This window comes from Homo sapiens, chromosome 11, assembly GCF_000001405.40.
Source record: "Homo sapiens chromosome 11, GRCh38.p14 Primary Assembly".
Taxonomy (NCBI): Eukaryota; Metazoa; Chordata; class Mammalia; order Primates; family Hominidae; genus Homo; species Homo sapiens.
In genome coordinates this window covers 30505661-30529750 of record NC_000011.10, presented here as the reverse complement: position 1 = coordinate 30529750, position 24090 = coordinate 30505661, and the positions used below count along the sequence as shown (strand labels likewise).

Sequence of the window (24090 nt, the reverse complement as noted above, 5' to 3'; positions counted from 1 at the left end):
CCTGCTATTGGCCCAAAGTTTTGGAGCTGGTCTTTAGGAAAAACCTTCACCGCCAAGGCTGTTTATTTTATTCTTATAATATATGTTATACATGTGCATTCCTTTTAACTTAGAGATAAGTGAAAAGAAGAAAACAAAATTACCTATGAACAGATGTAACTACTGTTAACATTAGTGTGAATTCATGTAGAATGTCTTCTATAAATACACACACACACACACACACAAATATCTTTTGCCAAAATATAAGTCTTACAGTTGTATTGCTTTGTAGTCTCTTTTTCATCTTAACGATATATTATGAACCACTTTTCACATCACTGAATGTGGTTAAAATACTTTTTCCCAAGAAGAATACTTTCATTGTAAGATACACATAACATTATAAAAATCCAAATATTTGATGTGTGTAAAGTATAAAATATACATTCCTCCATAATTATATTTCCAAAGTAATTACTTACTATTTGATGTATAACATTTCAAAATTTTTTCTACTTTCTGTTTCTTTTTATAATATCCTCAATAGCAGGAAATCTTCACCCATTTAGGGTCTTTATTAAGGACTATTTTTTAAAATTGATAAAACTATGAGTGTAATCTTGTAACTTAAAAAATGAACACATCATGCTCTGTGTCAGCATAGCATTCTGTTGTACTGATGCACTTTTTATTTAGCTAGATCTCTTGCTAGATACATAAGGTATTTCCATTCTTTTATTATTCTACTTGCACTGAAGTGATGAACATCTTTCTTGCTCTCTCTTTGCAAACATCCTTAATTATATTCATAGGATATATTCCTAGAAGTAGAATTGTTTCTTCAGATGATGTGTATTTTTAAAAAATTATGTATTATCAAATTTCTCTTCATAAAGATTGCAATTTCTCCATGATACTCTCAGTAGTATTTGAGAGTCCGTGTCACATATTTTTGGGTACCCTCAGTGGCAGCAAATCTTCACCCTTTAAAGGGTTTTAAAAGATGACGATAGCTGGATGCAGTGGCACACACTTGTAGTTTGAGCTACTTTGAGGTTGAAGCCTAAGGATCACTTGAGCCCAGGAGTTCGAGACCAACCTGGGCAGCATAGTGAGACCCTGTCTCAATTATAAATAAATAAATAAAAACCTGTAAACGATTTTCTAATTATGAAAGCTCACATGTTCATTGTAAAAACATGTAAACAATGAGGCCAGGCACGGTGGCTCACGCCTATAATCCCAGCACTTTGGGAGCCAAAGAGGGTGGATCACTTGAGGTCAGGAGTTTGAGACCAGCGTGGGCAACATGGCAAAACCCTGTCTCTACTAAAAAAATACAAAAATTAGTCAGGTGTGGTGGTGTGTGCCTATAGCTCCAGCTACTCAAAAGACTGAGGCATGAGAATCACCTGAACCCGGGAGGCAGAGGTTGCAGTGAGCCAAGATCGTGCTACTGCACTCTAGCCTGGGCAACAGAGCGAGACTCCGTCTGAAAAAAAAAGAAAGTAAATAGTGATACAGAAAAAAATTAAAATTGCCAATATATCCTATAAAGCTCACATGTAACTACTGTTAATGGCTGGTGTGTATCCTGTGGTGTGGTAGATGTGCATGTGTGTGTGTGTGTATTGTGTATAAAAAGGCAGTGTGGTATTAGGTTACAAGCATGAGTATTGGATTGAGCCTGCCTATATTTAAATCCTGGTTTCAACATTATTAATTCTGTGATCTTCAATGTATTCATTTGTAAAAGGAGACTTATTAATGCTTAGTGTATCCAGCCTCTAAAGATTGCTGTGAAGTTAAGTAAGATAAAGGAGACCCAATGTGTACAAGTAGTGAATGGTCAGGAAATGTTATTTGCTGCTGTGACATTTTCCGAGCATGCTGTGCAGTGACAGCTCTTTCATGCTCTGTTGTTGAGGTTCTGTTACTCCTGGGGAGGGCAGGAATTGGAGAGACAGGGGGAGGGGAGAACTTGGAGAAGGTGGCCCTGAAGTCTCTTGTGTCATAGCGACCTGCTGGCCTGTGGCCCACTCTGCCTGTGCAACAGAGAAAACGGTGACACAGTGGCCCTACCTGGCCACCAGAAACCTGATGCTGTCCCCTTCCAAGTACCCCAGACCAAACTTACATAGACCTCTCCTTAGACTCTGATTAACATCTGAACCACAGAAGCAGGGCAGCAGGGCCTCTCCTTTCCCTTTCCCTCTTCCCCATTTCCTGTCCTCTCCCCTCTGTTCCCCTCTTTATTCTGACCCACTCTCTCTCCCCTCCAGCGTCACCACCCCTCCTTCCAGAAACCACCCTTGCCCACCGGCTCCTGTCTTAACAATCTCCAGCACCAGGCTTTATTCACCAGGTTACCAAGGGCAGTTTTTAATTAAAAAAAAAAAAAACAACTCTTTCACATAATACTTTCCAGGCATGGTTCACACATTTAAGATTTCTGATTTTTTGAAACAATAAAAAATATTAGGAACTGGAGCTGGTGAACTGGGCAAGGTAGGAGATGCCATTTTAAATAGAAAATAGAGGCCGGGCGCGGTGGCTCACACCTGTAATCCCAGCACTTTGGGAGGCCGAGACGGGCGGATCACGAGGTCAGGAGATCGAGACCATCTTGGCTAACACGGTGAAACCCCGTCTCTACTGAAAAAATACAAAAAAAAATTAGCTGGGCGTGGTGGTGGGCGCCTGTAGTCCCAGCTACTCCGAGAGGCTGAGGCAGGGCAATGGCGTGAACCTGGGAGGCGGAGCTTGCAGTGAGCCGAGATCACGCCACTGCACTCTAGCCTGGGCCACTGCACTGTAGCCTGGGCGACAGAGGGAGACTCCATCTCAAAAAAATAAAAAATTAAAAAAATAAAAAAAAATAGAAAATAGAGATTGATACCTGGCAACTTTTCTCTAGTAAAGTACCTGGCACTTCCCAAAGAATCACTTCAGAAAGGATTTGAGCAGAGCAGCCTCACTGGAATGTTTATAGTCATGCAAGTTTATGATTACCTAACAGTCATATCTAATAAAGAGGTAAAGGTAGGAGCCTTTTTTTTTTTTTTGAGATTTATTCTTGCTCTGTAGCCCAGGCTGGAGTGCAGTGGCACGATTTCGACTCACTGCAACCTCCACCAGGTAGAAGGCTTTAGGAAGGGCAGATAAGATTAACTCTTCCTATGATTTACAAAGGAGAATATGCCAGAGGTTTCCCTAGAGTCAAGATCTCTGATTCTTACTGTTGAGAGTTTAATACTCAAGTAGTTTCTTAATCTTTAGCTTGTTCACAAAAACAGTATCTAAAATGCTATACTTTTAAGTTTTTGATTCATAATTTGGTTTTCCTAGCAACCATCCTAGAGTTATGATTTATTGAAAGCTTCTCTTTCTAGTTCAAGAAATCCACTTAGGGTCCTTTTTTCTATTTTTTTTTCTTTCCCCTTTCTCATCATCATTGTTGTCCTTGTCGTGGTGTGTAATTCTAGGATTTCAGTAGGTGTCTATGAGTTGCCTGTATGTTCTATCAGGTAGCTGTAACACAGCTTGTTTTGTCTGTAATAGTACAGGATAAGAGTATTTGCTTAATACAAGTAACAGTTGATTCATGCTTATTATCTGTGTGTCTTTCTTTACATTGAATAATTTTTTTCCTATATGAATTACTTCATGGTCTAATTCATATAAAAGTGCATCTTTCCAATAAGGACAAAATTAAAGTGTAGTTCAATTTTGATAACAGAATTAAGTAAAGTACTTGGGGGAAAATAATGAACCCAAACACAGCATAGTTGAATATGCTCAAATAAGTAAGATTGGATTTTGTTCCATTAGAAAGGATCATTAGTGACCTGAGGACAAGATGACTAGGTCTTTTGTGATCCATGTGAACCCAATCCTCTGTGTTATGGGCAGCCATTTTCTTAAATTACATAAATTATTATGCCTTTAATTTATATGACATCTTTCCTCCAAAGGACTCAAAGTACCTTTTGAGTATATTAGATCATTAATGCTTATATTGTTTCAGGGGAGTTGATATGGGCAGATAGTATTATCTCTGTCTTACTGATGGATGGGTGGAGATCCAGAAAGGTGGAAGGACAGGCTGGGTCACATTGGAGCCACCATTAGAGCTGAAGTCACTGAGTTGACTCTGTGTTCCAGCCTTCAATTCTTAAGCTTCCTACTTTCTCCTTTCCTGAAATCTCCCCATCTCCTAAAGAGAAAAAAACATAGGCAAGACATACATAATTATTACTTCATCAGCTTAGCAGAAAAGCCAGGAAAGCACTTTCCTGAAAAGGGTGACCTTTTAGGAATTTTACTGTATGAAAATTGTATCACTGTTAAACAAAATAAAAAAGCGGCTCTTTGAAAACAAAAAAGTTCTCAACTTTTCCAAACTATCTGGTCCAAGAGGAAACACTGAAGCCCCCTAAATCCTAGAGCAGGACTCTTGTGTCCTAGCACATGAAGAGACTTCATCCTCAGAAGATTATTTGTGTATATTCTAAGTGTCTCCTGAGGGCCAGGTTACTGCTTTGTGGGAGGCACTGAGAATGCAGAAGCAAAGTCACTGCATTTAGCATCCAGTCTCTGATTGTCATTATTTTTTCCCCATTTTGTAAATGAGGCAGCTAGAACTCAGAGAGTTCAAAGATCTTGCCCAATTTTGCACAGATTTGTCAGTGGGAGGCCTAGGACTGGGGGCTTTGTCTTTCCTTCTGATATGATGACATTTCTCATCATAGGGTAAGTCTGCCTATCAAAACCTAGGAGATTATTCTAATTATTTGAGGTTTTATTGTTAGAATGGAGTGCTGGTTTTATCTTAATCATTCCCTCTTTCCAAATACTTGCATCTAACTGGAGACCAGATATTTTGACATAGATGGTAGAAAGTACACAGACACCTCAAAACCAATAATACCTCAAACTGAAATATATCGCCTCCAAATATTGCTTGTTCTTTTAAATTCCCCTTTTGACTCACAGTACCATTAATCCAGGTACCTGAACCTCCTGGAACTATGACTACATTTTATTCATTTCACTTCCTGAGTGTCTTTCTGACCTCTATGGTGCCTAAAAAGACTGCCAAACCCCAACTTGCCATTCATCTCTCCTGGAATCCCCCAATAATAATATCTAACACTTGTTGATCACCCACTATAGCCTGACCCTCTACCTGCATTAACTCATTTAATCCTCACAACACTCTGAGGCTGGTTGATGCTGTTATCACCATTTTTACTGATGAAGACTTGGTATCTCTTTGTTATGGGCCCTCCCAACATACTGATATTTTTGTGGAATGCATTTTAGGAACCATGAACAGATGGAATGGAGTCTACTGTGGTATTCAGAGCTCTTCATGAACTGGTCCAACCTATCTGTCCACCTTAATTTCCCACCACACTTCTCTCTGGCCTCTCCCTCACTCTTTGGACTTGTGTGTTACTGTTTTCTCCCCTGTTCTCTCTCTTATTTTTATTTTTTATTTTTTTCCTTTTTTGAGACAGAGTCTCACTCTTGTCGCCCAGGCTGGAGTGCAATGGCGCTATCTCAGCTCACTGCAACCTCCGCCTCCCAGACTCAAGCGATTCTCCTGCCTCAGCCTCCCACTGAGTAGCTGGAATTACAGGCACTGGTCATCATGCCGAGCTAATTTTTGTATTTTTAGTAGAGACAGGTTTCACCATGTTGGCCAGACTGGTCATGAACTCCTGACCTCAGGTGATCCACCTGCCTCAGCCTCCCAAAGTGCTGGGATTACAGGCATGAGCCACCGCGCCCAGCCCCTTGTTCTCTCTTCTTGACCACAGCAACTTTCCGGTCCAAGTTTGTTCCCACCTCGAACTTTTGTACTTAATCATCTCTTCAGTCTGTCAATTTCTGCTCAAATGCCACCTCTTTGGTGAGGTCTTCTTATTTTACCTCTTTCTGCATATCCTTCTTTGTTGTTAGTTTTCCTCCGCTGAATGCTAGCTCTGCATGCCTGTAATCCCAGCTACTTGGGAGGCTGAGGCAGGAGAATTGCTTGAACCTGGGATGTGGAGGTTGCGGTGAGCTGAGATCACGCCACTGCACTCCAGTCTGGGCAACAAGAGCGAAACTCCGTCTCAAAAAAAAAAAAAAAAAAAAAAAGATGTGTTGCTTCCCTGGGCTTCAGCCCCCTCTTTTCTACAACAAGGGGAAGTTGTCACAGAGTCGTGAGGATGAAATTGAAGGCGCCTTATTGGAAGATGTCAAATGTCATGTAAATGTTAGACATGATCATTTTGTTGTTAATATCCTGTCCTATCCCTCATTGCCCTAGGTAGGAGGCCTCCCAATGCATTTCCAGTCCCTGCAACAGGTTTCTGGATAAGGATAGTCATCCTTATACCAACGTGGCATTTGGTTTGGCTTTGAACTTCCCAGTACTCCATAGATCACTTTCATCTTAATTTCCCACCTCCCCCCAGCCTGCCTGTATATTGTTTCCAGGAATCTTGATTCCATCTGTCCCCTGGGTTTTTGAATGCCATTTTCCTGGCCCTTCAAGCTGTATGGAGAGTCATTTCCGCTTCCAGTCTATCACTGGACTCACTAATTCTTGATGTTTGCCACCCGCCCCCACCTTTGACTGATAAATTTTCATTATTGGTTTTGCGTGAAAGTCTTCAGGGCTCTACTCTGCCTGACCCCTGTGGTCACTTAGTGATTACATGTGCCAGCTGAGGTAATTTATTCACTTTGTTTTGGTGTGAACATGTCCCATGGGGCTTGTAACTGCTGTAATCACTTGACCCTAGTGATTGTTAAATGCTTTAAACACAGTTATTTTAAATTTATAATTGTTTTCATTAAAAATCCCTTATAGTAACTTAACTGACCTTGCTGTCAATGTGGCGTTATGTGCAGGGGGAGGAAATGAAAATATTATGATGCAAATAATATAGTACTCATCAGAGATATGTGGCAAATCATTAGCTCACTCCACACATTCTCACTTGGAGTCCTGCAAGGAAGATGAAAGGGAAGACGACATAATTATAGCACTGTCCACGTAATTCAATGCAGCCATTCCCACACGCAGGGCAGGCCACTAGCCTAGAGAGGTGAAAGTGGAGTGGAGCCCAAGGTTAAGTCCCAGAAGAGCCTCGCATCAGGCCTGTTAAATGTGTAGACAGCACTTCTCACACTGGTGGGCGGCCTCCATTGATTAATTATTTTTTAATTAATATTTCTTCAAGTTTCAGGAAAGTTGCAAGAATAATACAATGAACACTCATATACCCGTCACACAGATTTCCCCAACTGTTAATGTTTTGCTACATTTGCTTTATTATTCTCTTTCTAGGTGTGTGTGTGTGTGTGTGTGTGTGTGTGTGTGTGTATGTTTTCCTGAAGCATTTGAGTTTAAGTCATAGACATCATGCCCCTTTACCCTAAATATTTCAATGTATCTTTCCTAAGAACATGGATATTCATTTACATGAGCTCACTACAGTTATCAAAATCAAGAAATATAAATTAATACAACTGTTATGTAATCTATAGACCTTTTTCATATTTTTCCAGTTGTCTTAATCATGCCATTTATGACATTTTTTTTTCTATTCCAGGCTTCTATACAGAATCATGCACTGCAGTCAGTTTTAAAACTCAAACCAAATCAAAACACTGTTTCTTACTTTGTTGCCTTAAGGAATAAGGATTTCTTAATGGAAACTTGGTCCTATGAAATTAGGATTTGGACCTACATTTCTAATAATCATGAGAATTGCTGTATATTAAGTGACAAGACACCACACTAGGTGTGTATTTTGCAAACACATTTATCTCATTCAGCCCGCCCAGCAAACATACAAGGAAGTTATTCTTGATCTGCAGCTCCAGATGCTGCAACTCAGAGAGGTCACCATGCTCTGGGTCACAGAGCTCCAAGGGGCAGTATCTATGTCCCACATCCTGCATTCTTCTGCGGCATACAAGAAGGGTGGGACTCCAGGATCCTGGAGACTAGTAGCCACGTGGAAACGACTGATGTTATATTTGTTTCATTTCTAGTTTTTACATTTTACTGGCAAAGGTCAGAAGATATATTTACATTAGAAAGTTACCTAATATGTATTTTGACTTCAAAAGATACGGCGTGGTGTCCTGATTAATTTTAACAATTAATGAAATTTGTAACAAATGTCAAATAAACTAGGTTTGTTTAATGGAATGCTGCTAGACTGCTGACCAGAAAGTGCTAAATAATGAAATCCAAAGAGCCTTGATAACCTGGCTTGTGGTACTGGACACTTGGATGTTGAGATACTCTGTGTGTTTCTGGCCTGGCTGTTAGTCCTTGTGGAAACTTGAAGTCATGTTCCAGAGTTGTGAATTGAATGGCCCTTACAAAGGCGTTTGATTAGCAAGCTTTCGTAATTTAGCCTAAATGGGGCTGGTGGGGATGATTCAGTTCCAGACATATGGTTACATCCCTATATTTGGTTTTGGTTTTGTTTATTCTTGTTTTTTTTCTTTCCTTTCTGTTTTATTCCTAAATCCAGGATTTCTGTGAATACTGGATTCACAAAATGAAGAATATACAATGAAAATACTAAAATATCAGTTAGGTTTCCTAAATCTCCCCCCAAATTCATAAATTACAGCTAACTATTCTAGCATTCCTCCTAGTAGCCCCAGTACTATTATTACTATTACTAGCACTACCACCACCATCACCACCACTTGGAGAAGGAAGTGGGGATAGTTGTGCATTTTCATTTAAAAATTTTCAGTATTTTTCCAATATGTTATTTCTGGTTGGGGCTGCTGCTTATCTGTAAAGTGCTTTTCTACAAAGTGTAAAGAGGAGTCCCCTGGGCCTGGTGGGTACATACTCGGTGAATGGCAGATAGCTCCCACTTACCCCCTTGGCTGCTACTCTTCTTGTACAGTGAACAACCTTTGCAACCAAAATTAAAAGTCATTTCTTCCAACATAATTATTTTCTGGAACATCATAAAATTCTCCCCTATTTTTTAACGTAAAAAGTGACATTTTGACTAAGGAAATTGATAATTATTTTAAGAAATGATGTATGTTTTATAGGCTATTTATTACAAATGCTAAAATTAAATGCTGTAAATACTCCCTTCATTTCCAAATACTTACTGTATATGAAAATGACATATAAGACAATATCAAAAAGTCATAGGTGACAAATAAAAATAAATGCTAGCACAAAACATTAACCAAAGATAGGTAATAAAAAGTGAAAAGAAAGGCAAACAAAAGGAAGTCTTCTGTTTTGATTTGTCCCCCAAATGAACATTCTTTTTGTTTGCCTTATTTTAGCATTTATGTAGGGAAAAAATGACTTAATTTTGGTTACATTGCCTGAATTTCCCAGCTTTTGTCACATCCGGAATTTGTGTTAATGCCATATTTATAGTACACCCTAAATGAATAATTAAGCAGCTAACTATAACATGCATTATTGATCTATCATAGATGTTATTGCAGCAAGTTTTGTGTACATTATGAAACTGGGGTAAACTTTTTTTACATTTTTTACATTTTTTTTAGCTGTTCAAATTTTAAGAGCAGGAAAGAAGCAGCATTCTTTTTTTCTAATTTCAGGATAAACGTGTACAATTAAACTGTGTTGTCTCCCTTCTCGCTGCCGTTTTTATGAATCTCACTTATCCTTCTTTGTTTGGAAATTAGGAGGTAAAGCTCCTTTTGGTTTTGAAGAGACTGTACTTGCCTGTGAGGGCAGACATCTAACTATAAAATATACAACCTCTGAGCTTTGATTTGTCTGTAAAATGTTGAGAACAATGTTAGGAAGTTCTTCACTTGCTGACTCTAAATTAATCCTATTCCCTAGTCGTTTGAGACTCAGTGCCCACCAAGTCCTGTATAGTTCTTCCCTTTATTACCTCAATTTAGAATTGTTAATCAACCAAGAGCATATAATAATGTTAGTGGTGGTGATGGTGATGGTAGTGGTAGTAATAGTAATAATAGTACTGGGGTTACTAGTAGGAATACCAGAATAGTTAGCTGTAATTTAGGAATTTAGGAAACCTAACTGATATTTTAGTATTTTCATTGTGTATTCTTCATTTTGTGAATCCATTATTCATAGAAATCCTGGATTTAGGAAGCAATGTAACCACAGAGCCTGAAAATGTTTGTGTATATATAGACACATATATATATCTCCTTAACATCATTTTTTATGATTTTACACTCATATATATGTGTATCCTAGCATTCCTACTGGTAGCTCCAGTACTATTATTACTATTACTACCACTACCACCACCATCAGTACTATTATATGTGTATATTTTATAGGCTATTACAAATGCTAAAATCACACCCACACATATATATGTGTATATATATGAGTGTGTGTATATATATATGCACATACATATTCATGTATACACACCCACACACACATACTTTTTTGTGTGTGTACGTATATATTTTGTTTGTTTGTTTGCTTTTGAGACAGGATCTTGCTCTGTTTCCCAGGCTGGAGTGCAGTGGTATGATCACCACTTACTGTAACCTCTGCCTCTTGGGCTCAAGCAATTCTCCCAAGTAGCTGGGACCATAATTTTACACCACCATGCCTGGCTAATATTTTAATTTTTTGTAGAGATGGGGATTTCTCTATGTTCCTTAGGCTGGTCTCGAACTCCTGGCCTCAAATGATCCTCCCGCCCCGGCCTTTCAAAGTGCTAGAATTAAAGGTGTGAGCCACCATGCCTGGCCCTGAATGTGATTTTATATATGAATTCCAAAATGAATATTTTAAGCATACACATTTAATACTATGAAAGTGAGTAAACTAATAATTTGCCTATAAAAATAGATAGAAACAAAAAATGCAAAACCAAAATGTATGTCTTTTGTAACGCATCTGGAGATTTTGTCCTTTGAAAAGGCCACACAAGAGTTAAGGGTGGTGGGAAGGCAGGAAGGACTTCTATCTTCACAGTCCTGTGCATACGCAGCTCCTAGTCCAGTTAAAGCCTTCTTATCCAACCTGACAAGGAAAGAAAAGTGTTCAGTTCATCAAAAAAGTCAGCTAACGTAGGAACCCATACAAATGATAATCATATAGCTAAATAGTTTTATTTTAATGTGAAGCATAAGATGTGCATGCTTTGGTCAGTGTCCTGAGGTAGAACTGAAGCCTTCCCTTTAAGTATGGACACAGTGATTATAGGTCAGCACTGTCTTTCTTGGGTAAATCACACATTTAATTTCTCATCTTTATTAAAAACGTATCACATTTTCATTTTGGCATATTTATTGGTGAACATAAAGATGCTTGTGAAACAATCTGAGTGCAGAATCTTTCTAGAATGCTATGATTTTTAAAGTCATTTATAATTACATGAGATGATTACATTAAAAAATACAGCTGGATAAACTGGTTTGGAGATAAACAGAGGTGGCTCTAGGACAACTGTGCATGGAGCAGAAGAGCACAGGTGACTATTAGAGACAGCCCCTGGCTGCTGTTAGTGGGTGCATGTTGGGCAGCAGACAGTATGTGTCTCAGAGAGGCTGGAGACTGTCGGTTAAAAGAGTGTCTAGAATATCTAGAAAGATCCTAAGCAGAGACTGTGTGTGGTTCTTGGTAGCTGTTCTGTGGCTCATAATCTACCATAAACTCTTGTAGTAGTTCTCAGATCTAATGTTTGATTTCTTTGCCTGCCTGGGAATTGTTTTTTTAAAAATGTCATGGATATAGTTCAGTAATAGTGTGAATTTGTTGTTCACAAGTCAGTGTACATGGTGAGTTCCTCGTTTTTACCATAAGTAAACCAAAATGCATCGCAGAGTAAGAATTCATAGTATAAGGTATCAGAGAGGAACTTAAATTTTAAGAAGGGTTTTATTTCTTAGAAATAGTTTATACATGATTTTACTAAGGTAATTATGGAGACTCCTTCTCCCATGACAGAAGGAGGAAAGATCAAGAAGCTTGGCATGGCAGTTCTTTCTTCGTCCTTTGGTAGTTCTTTTCATCAGGGCCAGAGGGGTTGAAGTATGAGGGTGTCCGTGCTTACAGGACAAGCTCTTTCCCTTCTCATTAGTACCCTGTTCCATTGCCTAAAGAGAGAGAAACATGCAGGATGAGGAAGGACACGTCCCAGACACATAGGCCTACACTTTAGCAGCGTTACTACGTCTTCTCGACGTGGATAGTCCAGAATTTCTGAAGTGTGATTGGTTCATCAAATATATAGTATATAGTGTTCTGTCCATTCATTTGTAAAATATAACAAAGCTCCTCAATATTGTTGGTTTAAAAAATGTCTTTTACCGTATACATAGGCTTGAATCTACCTTGTTAAAAATTTTGTGCTTGTGATTATTAGGGAAATATGCCCAGTGTTCATAAAAGTGTTTGTGTATGCCCTGGCATGGAATATAGATATACACCGACTAACAATAGCTATAAAAATGAAATCTTGCACAGAGCTGTGCCCTGCCTTCCCAGTCAGCAGTAACAATGCTTTTGGAGTTGAAGGGAAGCTTTTCCACTGGGGAGATATATGGGGAGTATGGGGGGATAGCAGCTTAAGAAATGGGGAGGGAGAAGTGCTGCAAATTTTAGTATAATGCATAATGTTGAAAGAAATTCTATCCCATCATAAAGATTAGCAGGCTGTGTAATTCAATTTAAAATTGGTTGGCGTGTCCTGACTATTATAAAGCCTTTCCTTTTTTTGTTGTTGTTTTATCGCCATTCCATTATTTGATGTCATATACCAATACAGAATGGAGCATACAGCCAACCCATCCATACAGGGTCTCTTTCCACATTTGCATCCATTGGAGAAATTGTTGGGGAATGTAAGAGTTTATCTTAAAATGAATTAAGAAAATGCTTGCTCAATTGAATGCCTCCTTGTTTTCTTTCTTTCTTCTTTCTTTTTTTTAACACAAAATGAATTTCTTCTGGGCAAGCAACCATTGAGAGTGAAATTCTTTTAAAAGCATTTGCTGGACACAGGACTTGGTTCTCAAAATTCCAGCATTAGCACTTATCTACAGTATCATGGGCATTACAGTGCCATTGAAAATCAAGATGCAGTAGCTTATGTTAATGCAAGACTGACAGACCCACATCTGATGGCAATTACCCATACTGGGGGGTTAATAAATGTTCTTAGAATTACTGTCTTTATTTTCTTTATTGCAAGAAAAATGGGCAGCTTCCTAAGCCGTGCCTCCTGCTTCTTGCTACCAGCCTTGGTGACTTGATAATTAACTGTTTTCATTCCAGTGCTTCATGGGCTCTTCTGAGTTTAATATTCATGTTAGGGAAATGCTACGTCCTTTAGCCAAAGTAGTAAAAATATTAAATTAAATTCAGCAAACATTTATCCAAGTACCCTTTAAGAACAAGAAATGAAGACGTATAGAAATAATAATAATAATAACGAGACTTGGATGCATCAGAAGAGTGTCTGGAAAATGAATGCACACTGTTTTTTCCTTCTAGAAGGGAGCGAGCTTAATTTTTATTCCTTTTCTGAAGGGGTTTCAGCACAGGTGTGGCAGAGAGAATTCATCACACTTGCCAGCTCTGATCAATCTAAAGTGGCTCCCTGAAGCACTTTGTTAAGAAGGATCCTCATGCTATATCCAAACTCAGTGGGAAAGATGTTATGATTTATCAGCAGTGTCTCTCATGCTATGGGGTAGGGGTGTGGTTACTCATACCATGCATTTGCTGTGCCTGCTATAGTGTCATTCATCTTTGTTCATATTCATGCTCTATGAATGTGGTAGGCAGAAAATTGCTGTGGTGGAAATGTATGCCTACTTTATTTTAACTCTTTAGAGTCAATCCAGACTTTGGAATATCTCCAATACTAAGTTCCTGAAATGATTGTGATCTTCGCTTGATGGGATTTTAAAGTTTTCTTCACATTAAAGGCTATTCTATGTCTGTTTCAAGAGGTTCTTAGCTGTCTGTAAGGCAAATTGGGGGTAGTGCATTAGTAAGGTTGTCAAGAAGACAAGAAAACACATACAACTTTTGGGGTCCTGTAGGATTTAGGAAGCAAATTAACTTTGGTTTGTGATGCTAAATCTATAGTAAGAATTAAGGTTGTACAACCACTCTGATGGTGTGGTTAACTTGTGAAGCTGTTTTGCATACCTACTTGGAAAGGAATTCAGAGATCAGGAGAGACAATTCAATTCAATTTATCCTGTTATGTCCCCCAAATCTTGGGCAGCTCAGTTTTCTCTAGCCCCTAGTTTCTATCTCCTAAGCCTGACTGCCCATCAGAATCTCTCAGGCAGGTGGTTAAACATTCAGATTCCTGGAATCTAGTTCAGACTTATTAAATCAAATTCTCTACTGACGAGTCCTCATAATTGGAGCTTTAATGAGCTCTTCCCTGGTTCTCTCACAGCCAGTGCACTACCACCTTCTTGCTTATGGATAAAATGGATTGCCGGGATTGGGGATATATTCTGCATACTCCTATTATCCTAAACCCAGCCATTCTTTTCCACTCTCTTTTCATGATGACCCCTGTAGACTTCATTTAGCTCCTCTGTAAAAGAGGATAATAGATATTGCCTCATAAGGTTACTGTAAAGATGAGGTAGGTTAACGTATAAAGGTTTTTTGTTTGTTTGTTTTGAGATAGAGTCTCACTCTTTTGCCCAGGCTGGAGTGCAGTGGTGCAATCTCAGCTCACTGCAACCCCTGCCTCCCAAATTCAAAGGATTCTCCTGCCTCAGCCCCCTGAGTAGCTGGGGTTACAGGTGTGTGCCACCATGCCTAGCTAATTTTTGCAGTTTTAGTAGAGATGAGTTTCACCACACCAGGCTTGTCTTGAACTCCTAACCTCCAGTGATCTGCCCACCATGGCCTCCTGAAGTTGGGATTACAGGAGTGAGTCATTGCGCCAGACCTAAAGTTTTTTAGGATGGTGCCTGACAGAGGTAAATATTGGATGTGTTGGTTCCAAATCTCATAATTGTCATCATCATTTGATTTCATTTACAGGGACACTGAGTATCTTTGCCAGAGGCAGCAAATCAAATTATAATATCTTACCAGGCTGTTGTAAGAAGCAGAAGGTATACAAAAAGCTTTGCTTGGTTGAAACACTATTTTTTGAATTTATGAACATGTAAACATAGAACAGTTAGGAGGCTTTTGACTGTAAGAAACAAAACGCTGTAAGAAACAAGGAATTTAGTCTCTCATTAAAAAAAAATGTCCAGGCACAAAGCAGTTTTCAGCATCTGGTAATTCAGGGGCTCAGTGATGATACCAGGAACTCGGGTTCTTTCAGTATTCCTCTTACATGGTGGCTTTGTCCCAAAGGTTTGAGAATGACTGCTGCCGAAGTTCCAGGTATAGCATGAAGTAATGACAGTGTTCATTGGAAAAACAAGGTCATTCCTTCCAGTATGTCTCTTTGTATAGGTGATGACCATTTCCTTGAAGCCCATCCACAGACTTTTCTTCATGTTTCGCTGGCCAGGATTGGGTGACCGCACCTCCTTAAACCAGTCATTGGCAAGGGAAATAGATGTACTAACTAATCAAGATACCCTCACCTGGGTCTATGAATAAGTTTACCTTTCTGGAGCACAGGCTTCCCAGGGGAAGATGAATACATGAATAAAACTGGGGGCTGTGCTATTGAGGAAAGGTGGGGTGAAGATTTGAATGTGCCATCAATAGCATCTGCTTAATGAGTCTCATAATGAAGTATCTTTGCATGGCACCTTGAGGAAAGTAGCCTATGGTCTTCCTAGAATGGAGTCCCTTGGGTATGGCAGGAGACAGCACTGTAGTGAGGCTTGGCCAGTGACTGAGATAGGCTTGGGTAGCATTTTAAAATATCATGCCTTGTTTCCTTGTTTCAATATCTTGTTTCCTATTTTCATCCTGAAATCTTTACTTTTCTTGTTTCCTTTTTTTATGTTCCTTGTTCTCTTTTCTTTCATTCTTTTGTTTCCTCTTTTGTCCATGTTATACCAGGATCCATGTATAGGACAGACTTCTAGCCACCTGTGTCCCTTTCCCATAGAAATGATCTCAGAAGAGAAGATTACAGGTTCCTGTTATGTGGTCAGATTCCAAAGTTCTGAGAGACTTAACCTATCATCACCTGTTATGTTTCATGGCTGTTTGGAGCAGTTTAACCTTCTGTCTTATCCATCTACAGTTGAATAGTTTACTTCCTGAAGATCACGTATTTGGCATATTGAGATTCTGAAGATACCATAGGAACTATACTTTTAACAATTCAAGCTAATTATCTGTCACCATCAATTGGCCACGAAGAGATGGAAAGACACTTGGTTGATATCTGAGCCCACTGGTAGAGTGTAGCAAGAATCCCTGGCTAGACCTCTTGAAACAAAGATGTGCACAGAAGACAAGGCCTGACCAAAAAAGAGAAAGAGAAACAGTCATCTGTATTATTTTAATGGTTTTGAGCTCATTTCCCTTTATAGAGGAACTAGGCTTAACCATGGGTGGACTGAGGACTCCTGTCTCTGGACTAGAATAAAAGTAGGGCAGGAGGCCCCCATTATCCCTCCTTGCTAGGGTAATGCTGGTCACTGAGATCTTGTCTCTCATTAGAGATGCAAAGAAAAAATGGAAGAATATGTTTTTTTTTAAGGTCATGGCCCACTCAGACCTAGAGAACAGAATCTTTCAGGATAAAGCCTGGAAACTGATTTACTTTTTTTTTTTTCTTTTGAGACAGAGTCTCCCTCTGTTGTCCCAAACTAGAGCACAGTAGAGTGCAGTGGCGTGATCTTGGGTCAGCGCAACTCTGCCCCCCGATTCAAGCTATTCTTCCACCTCAGCCTCCCGAGTAGCTGCGATCACAGGTGTACACCACCACATTTGGCTAATTTTTGTATTTTTAGTAGAGACGAGTTTTCACCATATTGACCAGGCTGGTCTTGAACTCCTGACCTTGGGTGATCAGCCCGCCTCCACCTTCCAAAGTGCTGGGATTATAGGCGTGAGCCACTGCACCCAGCCATGATTTACTTTTTAACTTGTACATAATTTGGAAGATCAAACGGGTTTGGGAACTACTGGCCTAAAGTGACTATCTCAGGCTTTATAATCGTTAAAGGGTTTGTACAATCCCGGTTCTGGGGCAGTGATTTTTCCAAGGGCCCTGAGGGGCTAGAAATGTGGTGTTGTGGGGTAAAACTTTATCCCTCCCTCCTTCCCCCCACAACAAGAGCAGACCTAATTTCAGTTTTTTTGTTTGTTTGTTTTGTAAATTCAAACTTCTTCATAAACTTTTCTTTGAACAAAGTTTTCCCTTGACCCCACTTGCCCCAGCATGCAACGAGAAATGATCTGTTTCTGGGCCAAGACACATTAGGTGCCATGGCTTCCTAATGTCATTATCTGGGCCATCTTGGCAGAGCCGAGGGAAAAATCCCATCAAGGCCACTGAATGTCTGAGGTCACATGAACAAGATATGGAAAGTCAATGGTGGCCAAGTAGAATGACCCTGGAAGGGGACCCTGGAACCAAGGTGCATGGCCCTAGTCATGAGGACATCTTCCCTCTCAGGACTTCTAGAAGCCCAATGACAATAGAGTTCTCATAGGACACCGTTACTACTGCCTATTTGGTGTCTCCTCAGTGAAGTCATTGTGTTGTGGCGCATCTCAACTCCCCAGAGTCCAATTCCCTATAATAATGAGAATTTTTAAGGAGACAAAAATAGAGCCTAAGAAAATAAAGAAATATGCTAGCTTTGTTGAACTATTCCAAACCACACCCAGACAATAACCACAAGGACAACAACAGTAATTGACGTTCAGAGTATACACACATTTAGCCCAATCTTGCTAATGGATTGCATTTTAATCTCCGCAAAGTTGCTTCAACATTAGACCATTAGTAGCTTGCCTTCTGAAGGTAGAAAATTAAATATTTTAGAAAATATTTTCATCACAAGGGTAGATTTTTAAAAAATATTGTCTAATTAATTGTCAGCTAATCAACTATAGATGATTGCACTGAGCGTTCTAATGAAAATTGAGATTTACAAGGAACTATGTGCTTGCTATACTGTTCTAAACATCTCTGGGGTGTGTGTGTGTGTGCACGTGCACATGTGGTGTGCATGCATGCATGTATTTCCTGCCTTCTTACATTGTGCCGTACATAATCAAGGAAGTTTATTTCTTAGCTATCTTTACTGTTCGTTGAAAAAGGGCTAGACAGACAGAAAATATTGACTTATCCCCCTCAAAGACACCTTCCTGGATTGCCATATCTTGGTAATTTTCTCTGTTACTCTCTTTCATAGGACCTGCTAATTCTCTTCCTTGCAGTTATAATCTGAGTTATGTTGATAGGTTATTTACTTCTTTATTATCTGTTGCTCCCACCTGAATATAAGTTCCATAAGGCCAGAGACCCTGTTCTGTTTGCTGCATTATTATATTCCCAGCCAGCCCCATCATACTGCCAGTCACATCCTAGGACCCCAGGGAATATTTCTTGGAGGTTGTAGAAAGACTGTGGTCATTTCATGGCATTCTGGGGCCCTATTTCATTATCAAATCTCATCCTGACTTTTGAGAGAGTCAGAAGCTTAGTGGGATTTAATGGAATCTAATGGGATTTCTTTTATCCAATGCTACAGGATTCGAAAATTAGGTTGAGACCTGACTTTGCAAGACCCTTGAAATGAGCCAAAACATAAAGAAAAGTGAGGGAAGAGAGAGTTAAACCACAAAGTGGGTGAATCTGAGAATGTGGGGTTGAAAGTGAAATGCCACATGACAGAGTTAAAAAGTAAAAACAGTTTAACCTGAAGAACTGAAATCTGGCCACACTTTCCTAGTAAGGGATCAACTTTACAAGCTTTGGATGGGTTTGAATAGAAGAGGTTGGAGTTCTCAGTTTTGGAGAATTAAGTTAAGCCCTGCAAAAATACCTTCTTTTTAAACCAGTGTATCTAATCTCCAGTTTCCGGTCAGAACGCTCCAAAGTAATTCAATTTTAAAAAATAAATAAAAGTAGCCGTTTTCAGAGAAAGTCACTCTTCATTTTCACCATTTAAGAGTCAATGATCTGAGCCTTAGCTTCCACTCTGAGGAAAATAATCTTAGTGAAAAACAAAAGCTGGCATGTTAGAGACATGTAGAAATGAAATACTAAGCTAGAGATGAGCCTACATATTATAAAAAGATACCAATCTAGAAAATCTTTTGCTCTCAACCTTGAGAAACCACCTTGGTGGTATTGATATGAAAAAGAGGTGCTGTATTGGCTGAGGATAAGCAAATGTAGCCCCTTAGTTATTGATGAAAATAAAAGTAAAAGTTGTGATGTTAGTATCATGGAAGAACTTTACCATTGAGTTTCATTAAAGGTAACTCAGTGATAGTGTCAGAGACAGAAGAAAAGCTTGGAAGAACAGTAGCTAGACACAGAAAGATAATTTCTATCATCTTAAATTACTCCCTGGCTTAAGCTCATGTTTAAGATGGCTAAATAGATGCTTTCCATGAGTCAACTGAAAAAAAAATGGCCTTAAACCGTGATAGTACAGGTTAAAAACAAAAGAGTATCTTAACAATGAAATTTGATTAGTCCTCTGTGTCTATGAAATAAGAAGAAATGAGTGACTATATGTCTTGGGTGTTACTGCATGATACTTGCTGGTAGTGGCAGATGAATGTTAGGACCCAGGATTCATGATTGTAGGCACAGTCTTTAGAAAAACTTCTTAGCTTCTCTGAACCTAAACATTCTGATCTACAAAGTGAATCATTTAAATCTCTGACCCGGTGATTATGTGATATGGTGGAGAAGGAGAGGATTGGTCTGCAAAATCAGAAGTTCTGAATTGCAACTAAGTCATTGGGTGACCTTGGAGGAGTCATTTTAGCCTTGCTAGGTCTTAGTTTCCCATTCCATGGAAGGAATGATTCAAATCTCTGAGGACTCTGCTAGGTTGGAATTTTGGTAAGCCTGGAATTAAAGGATAAAAGGTCAGGAGCACCCTGCTGTCCCTTGATTTTCTGTTGGAAGCAAAAGGATAGAACTGGCCTTGCACATAAATTAGCATGGATTCTTTCATCTGACCCAGTGACTTGGGGGCCTGAGAAGATGCACACACGTGTCCTGTTTGGGCCTAGGCAGTAGGCTCATTTATAAAGAGTGGCCTCTGCAAAGCCAGCTGTCAAAACAGCAGTGATTTTCCTGAGAGGCCTAGGGGTGAAAACTTTCAGATGAAGGGATACAATGAAGAAATACAGGCACCTTCCTCAAATAATGAATGACTATTCCATTAACTCCATCTATTGATTACTCCTCTGAGCTACCGGGAACAAAGGCTGGAAAAATCTTTAAGTGCATAGTGTCAACCATGCAGCAATAATTCCCTTCTCTTTTGAAATTGTAACATTATTTGTGTCATGTATATAGTTCATTTATTCATTTATTCATCCATTTATTTGTTCACTCATTCAACAAAATTGAGCCCTTACTACAGGTGGGCCAACTTCTTTGCCCTCTTTTGCCTTTCCCAGTAAAAAAAGCCCCTGTATAACAGATTTTAAAAATCAGATTTAGTTTATTAATAGCAAATTAACAGTATACTTTGTGATGTATATAATTGGTGTCATCCTTGAATAAAATAAAAATAGGACTTATAACACTTAAAGGCCATTTTGTAGCCAAAATTGAGGTCTTCGCTAATCATATCCACATGATTCTCAGGCAATATAGAATTATTTCTTCATTCATTCATCTATTTGATAAGTAATGATTGAGGCCTTCTGGGAATGCAAAGATGAATAGAATATAGTTCGAACCCTCCTGAGGTCCATAGTCATGTGGCAGAAAGAGAACTCGTTAGACAAATCCTCATTCTGTGAACTGCAAGCACTTGGCAAGCTCAGACCTCCAGATATGAGTGGGGAAGTGGCTGGCAGGGCACAGAGAGTTCTACACACCATACCACAGAACGTTTGGCCCTTTGTCTGTGGGCAATAATAGAGAATCTGGGAAGATGTTAAGTTGGGTGAGTGTTTAAGTGTGTGGAGGGAGTGTATATGATCAGATTTGTATTTTGATGAGATCACCCAGCTTTAGTGTAGGAAGGATTAAGCCAAGGCAGCCTTCTAGGAAGGGTATTACTTTGCTAGGGCTGTCAACCATGGAAACACAGACTATGTGGTTTAAACAACAGACATTTATTTTCTCACAGTTGTGGAGGCTACTAGCAGGTTTGGTCTATGCATTTTGGGGGAACACAATTCAGCCCATAAAAGAAGCAAACCAAAAAGTAGGGGAAATCTGCTCTTTGACAGAGTGTATGCATATGTATGAGGAGGGAGAGAAATTTACATGTTTTTTAATGAACAATTTAAGGCAAATGTAGTATGCATTTACCTGACTTCACATGTCTAGGAACAAAGACCCTCATAGAACAAACACATTTTTTAAATTTTTTCATTTTACTGTCATGCCAAACACCTTTTTATGTATTTATTTTTGTGTCTTGCTTTGGAACAACGTTCAGCAGACAGAGTATGCTCTCCAACTGTGTTCCGATTACCTGAATTCCTTAAAATACTTAATTCAAATTATTTAAGGAAGAACTTTATGGAATACTTTGTGCCTTAATTATACTAATTAGGAGAAAACACAGATTTAGGAAGACAGTGTAAATTTATCTCTTGATAAATTTTAAGATGCTGAGGCCTAGATCTCTAGAAATTGGAAAACCCATGAGTAAGGAATGAAAATGTAGAAAGTAAAATAGACCTCCAATTCTGCTTCTTGGAACCTTGGGTACCAAGGGCCATGATGGAATTTCCAGAAATCCTTTCTTCCTGAGGAATTATACTACGTACTTTTTACTGCTTCATACCAGCGGGAGGCTTGTGGGATAAAGCCATAAAAGCATTGCCAAAGAAATATCGGAGACTATTGGAAATGTGTTCCAGTGGAACCAAAACATTATCCAAAGGAGACTTCATGATTTCACACCCCCCAGGAAGTCTTAGTGGCTCTGATTCAGGGTAGCTCTTATAGTAGTAAATGTTGCCCATTGAGGGGTGGAGAAAGCAGAATGGAAAAGGAAATGAATATGGTCTCCATTCCCTCTATATTGTCACTGCCACTATTGATCAAAATAACCTTCTCTGAGGGGTTTCTTTGTAAATATTGTACTTGAAATGCTTCACTCAAATTTTGAGTTATAAAATGGGAAGAATCAATTTTACTGGCTCCTAAATTTTGCTCTATGCAGCTTCCTGTCCAGCGTGGATATTATTAAAATTGACATAGGATGTGTGTGCAAGGTAATATCCCCTTTCGTAGGCACTTCTCTAAATTTCAGGATATTCTGTAGAGTGGATTAGATTATACAGTGAGTGGGGATTCAGAAAGGAGAATAGAACTGTGTATTGATGCCTTCAGAAATATTATTTGATGGCAATAAAATATTCCCCGAAATTCCCTTCAGAGGGAAGAAAATGGAGTTTGTTTGCAGTAATTGCATTTTCTAGCATTTGCTCTTACACTTTCCAATATAAGCCAATTGGAACCCATGATTTGGTTTTGCTTATTGACAAAAGTACCATGTAAATTGATCTGTGATGCATTTAAAGAAGATGCTTTGAAAGTTTGGAAATTGAGATGGCTTTTTCTTATTAGATTTTGAGAGTATTAGGGTTCATTTCTATATTTTAGTCTAATGTAATATTAGCCAAATATGTTCTTTTTCAATTTAGTTTTAATCAAGTTCTGGAAGACCATTTTCATTTAGCCCCAGTGGCGCTGTTAACGCAGAGATTTTATTTCCACTGTCAACCCTCCATTCTGGTTTCTGCAGCCCTGCCCCGCAGAATTCCTGCATTCGGAAATCCTGCATCATCTGCCCAAATGTTATTTCAGCATGCAAAAATGACAGTAGTTATTACAAAAAGATTTTTAAAATTCTTATTTGCAGGCTTAAGGAGGGGAGGAATTTAAAAAGCCTCTAAAATGGTTATTTCTTTTAAAAGATATGGCCTTTATGCCTTATGTTATTTTTATTTAATTTGATCATCACCATACTTAATGGTTTAAAATGCAAACACACAGGATTTGCATTTGTTCCTCTAGTTATTCAGTAGAATAATTGCCACTTATTTTATAATTATTGCTGGAAGGAACACCTTTTTCTCAGTTGCTTTTTAAAGGCTTTGTGGGGGAAAAATAAACATATCATTCTTCATCTCATCAGAGACTTTGTCAGCCAACACTACTAGTTTATTAAAGATATTTATTAAATACTCTTTTAAAGAGGTAGAACATAGGAGATGGGCTCCTTATTCTGATCTAAGTTACACTGCAAAACAGAAGACAGGATAAAAATAACAGTAATAGGCCAGGCACGATGGCTCATGCCTGTAATCCCAGCACTTTGGGAGGCTGAGGCGGGCTGAGGGGATCAGCTGAGGTCAGGAGTTTGAAACCAGCCTGGCCAACATTGCGAAACCCTGTCTCTACTAAAAATATAAAAAATTAGCCGGGGGTGGTGGTGGGCACATGTAGTCCCAGCTACTTGGGAGGCTGAGATATGAGAATCCCTTGAACCCTGGAGGCGGAGGTTGCAGTGAACTGAAATCGCGCCACTGCACTCTCACCCGGGTGACAGAGTGAGACTCCATTTCAAAAATTAATAATAATAATAATAACAATAATAATTATCATCCTTTATGTGGCAGGTATTGTATTTGGTCCTTTCCTGCTCTCACTTATTCCCCATACCCACTTCATAAGGTAGATTGTACAATTATTCTTTTTCTTTTTTCCTGATGAGTATTGTGAAGCTAAAATTATGTGTTTGGAGTCTGAGTTTAACAGGTAATAAGTGACAGAAGCAGGAACTTGATCCGAAATCTGTCTGACTCCAAAGTCCACACTCTTTCCTTTATGCCACATATTCCTGTAAGTTCAGGTTGTATAAACATGCACACAACTGATCCAGATGAAACCTGACAATGTCTTTACCAATTTTTCTTGTGATTATCTGGTGGAACCTTGATTTGGATGCGGTTTTCTAATG

General features: G+C 39.0%; 1 protein-coding gene across 27 annotated transcripts in view; it reads left to right on the top strand.

Moving 5' to 3' along the window:
• MPPED2 (metallophosphoesterase domain containing 2) overlaps positions 1-24090 on the top strand; it is a 202912-nt gene that overhangs the window by 57240 nt on the left and 121582 nt on the right. The gene's annotated exons all lie outside the window — the stretch shown is intronic.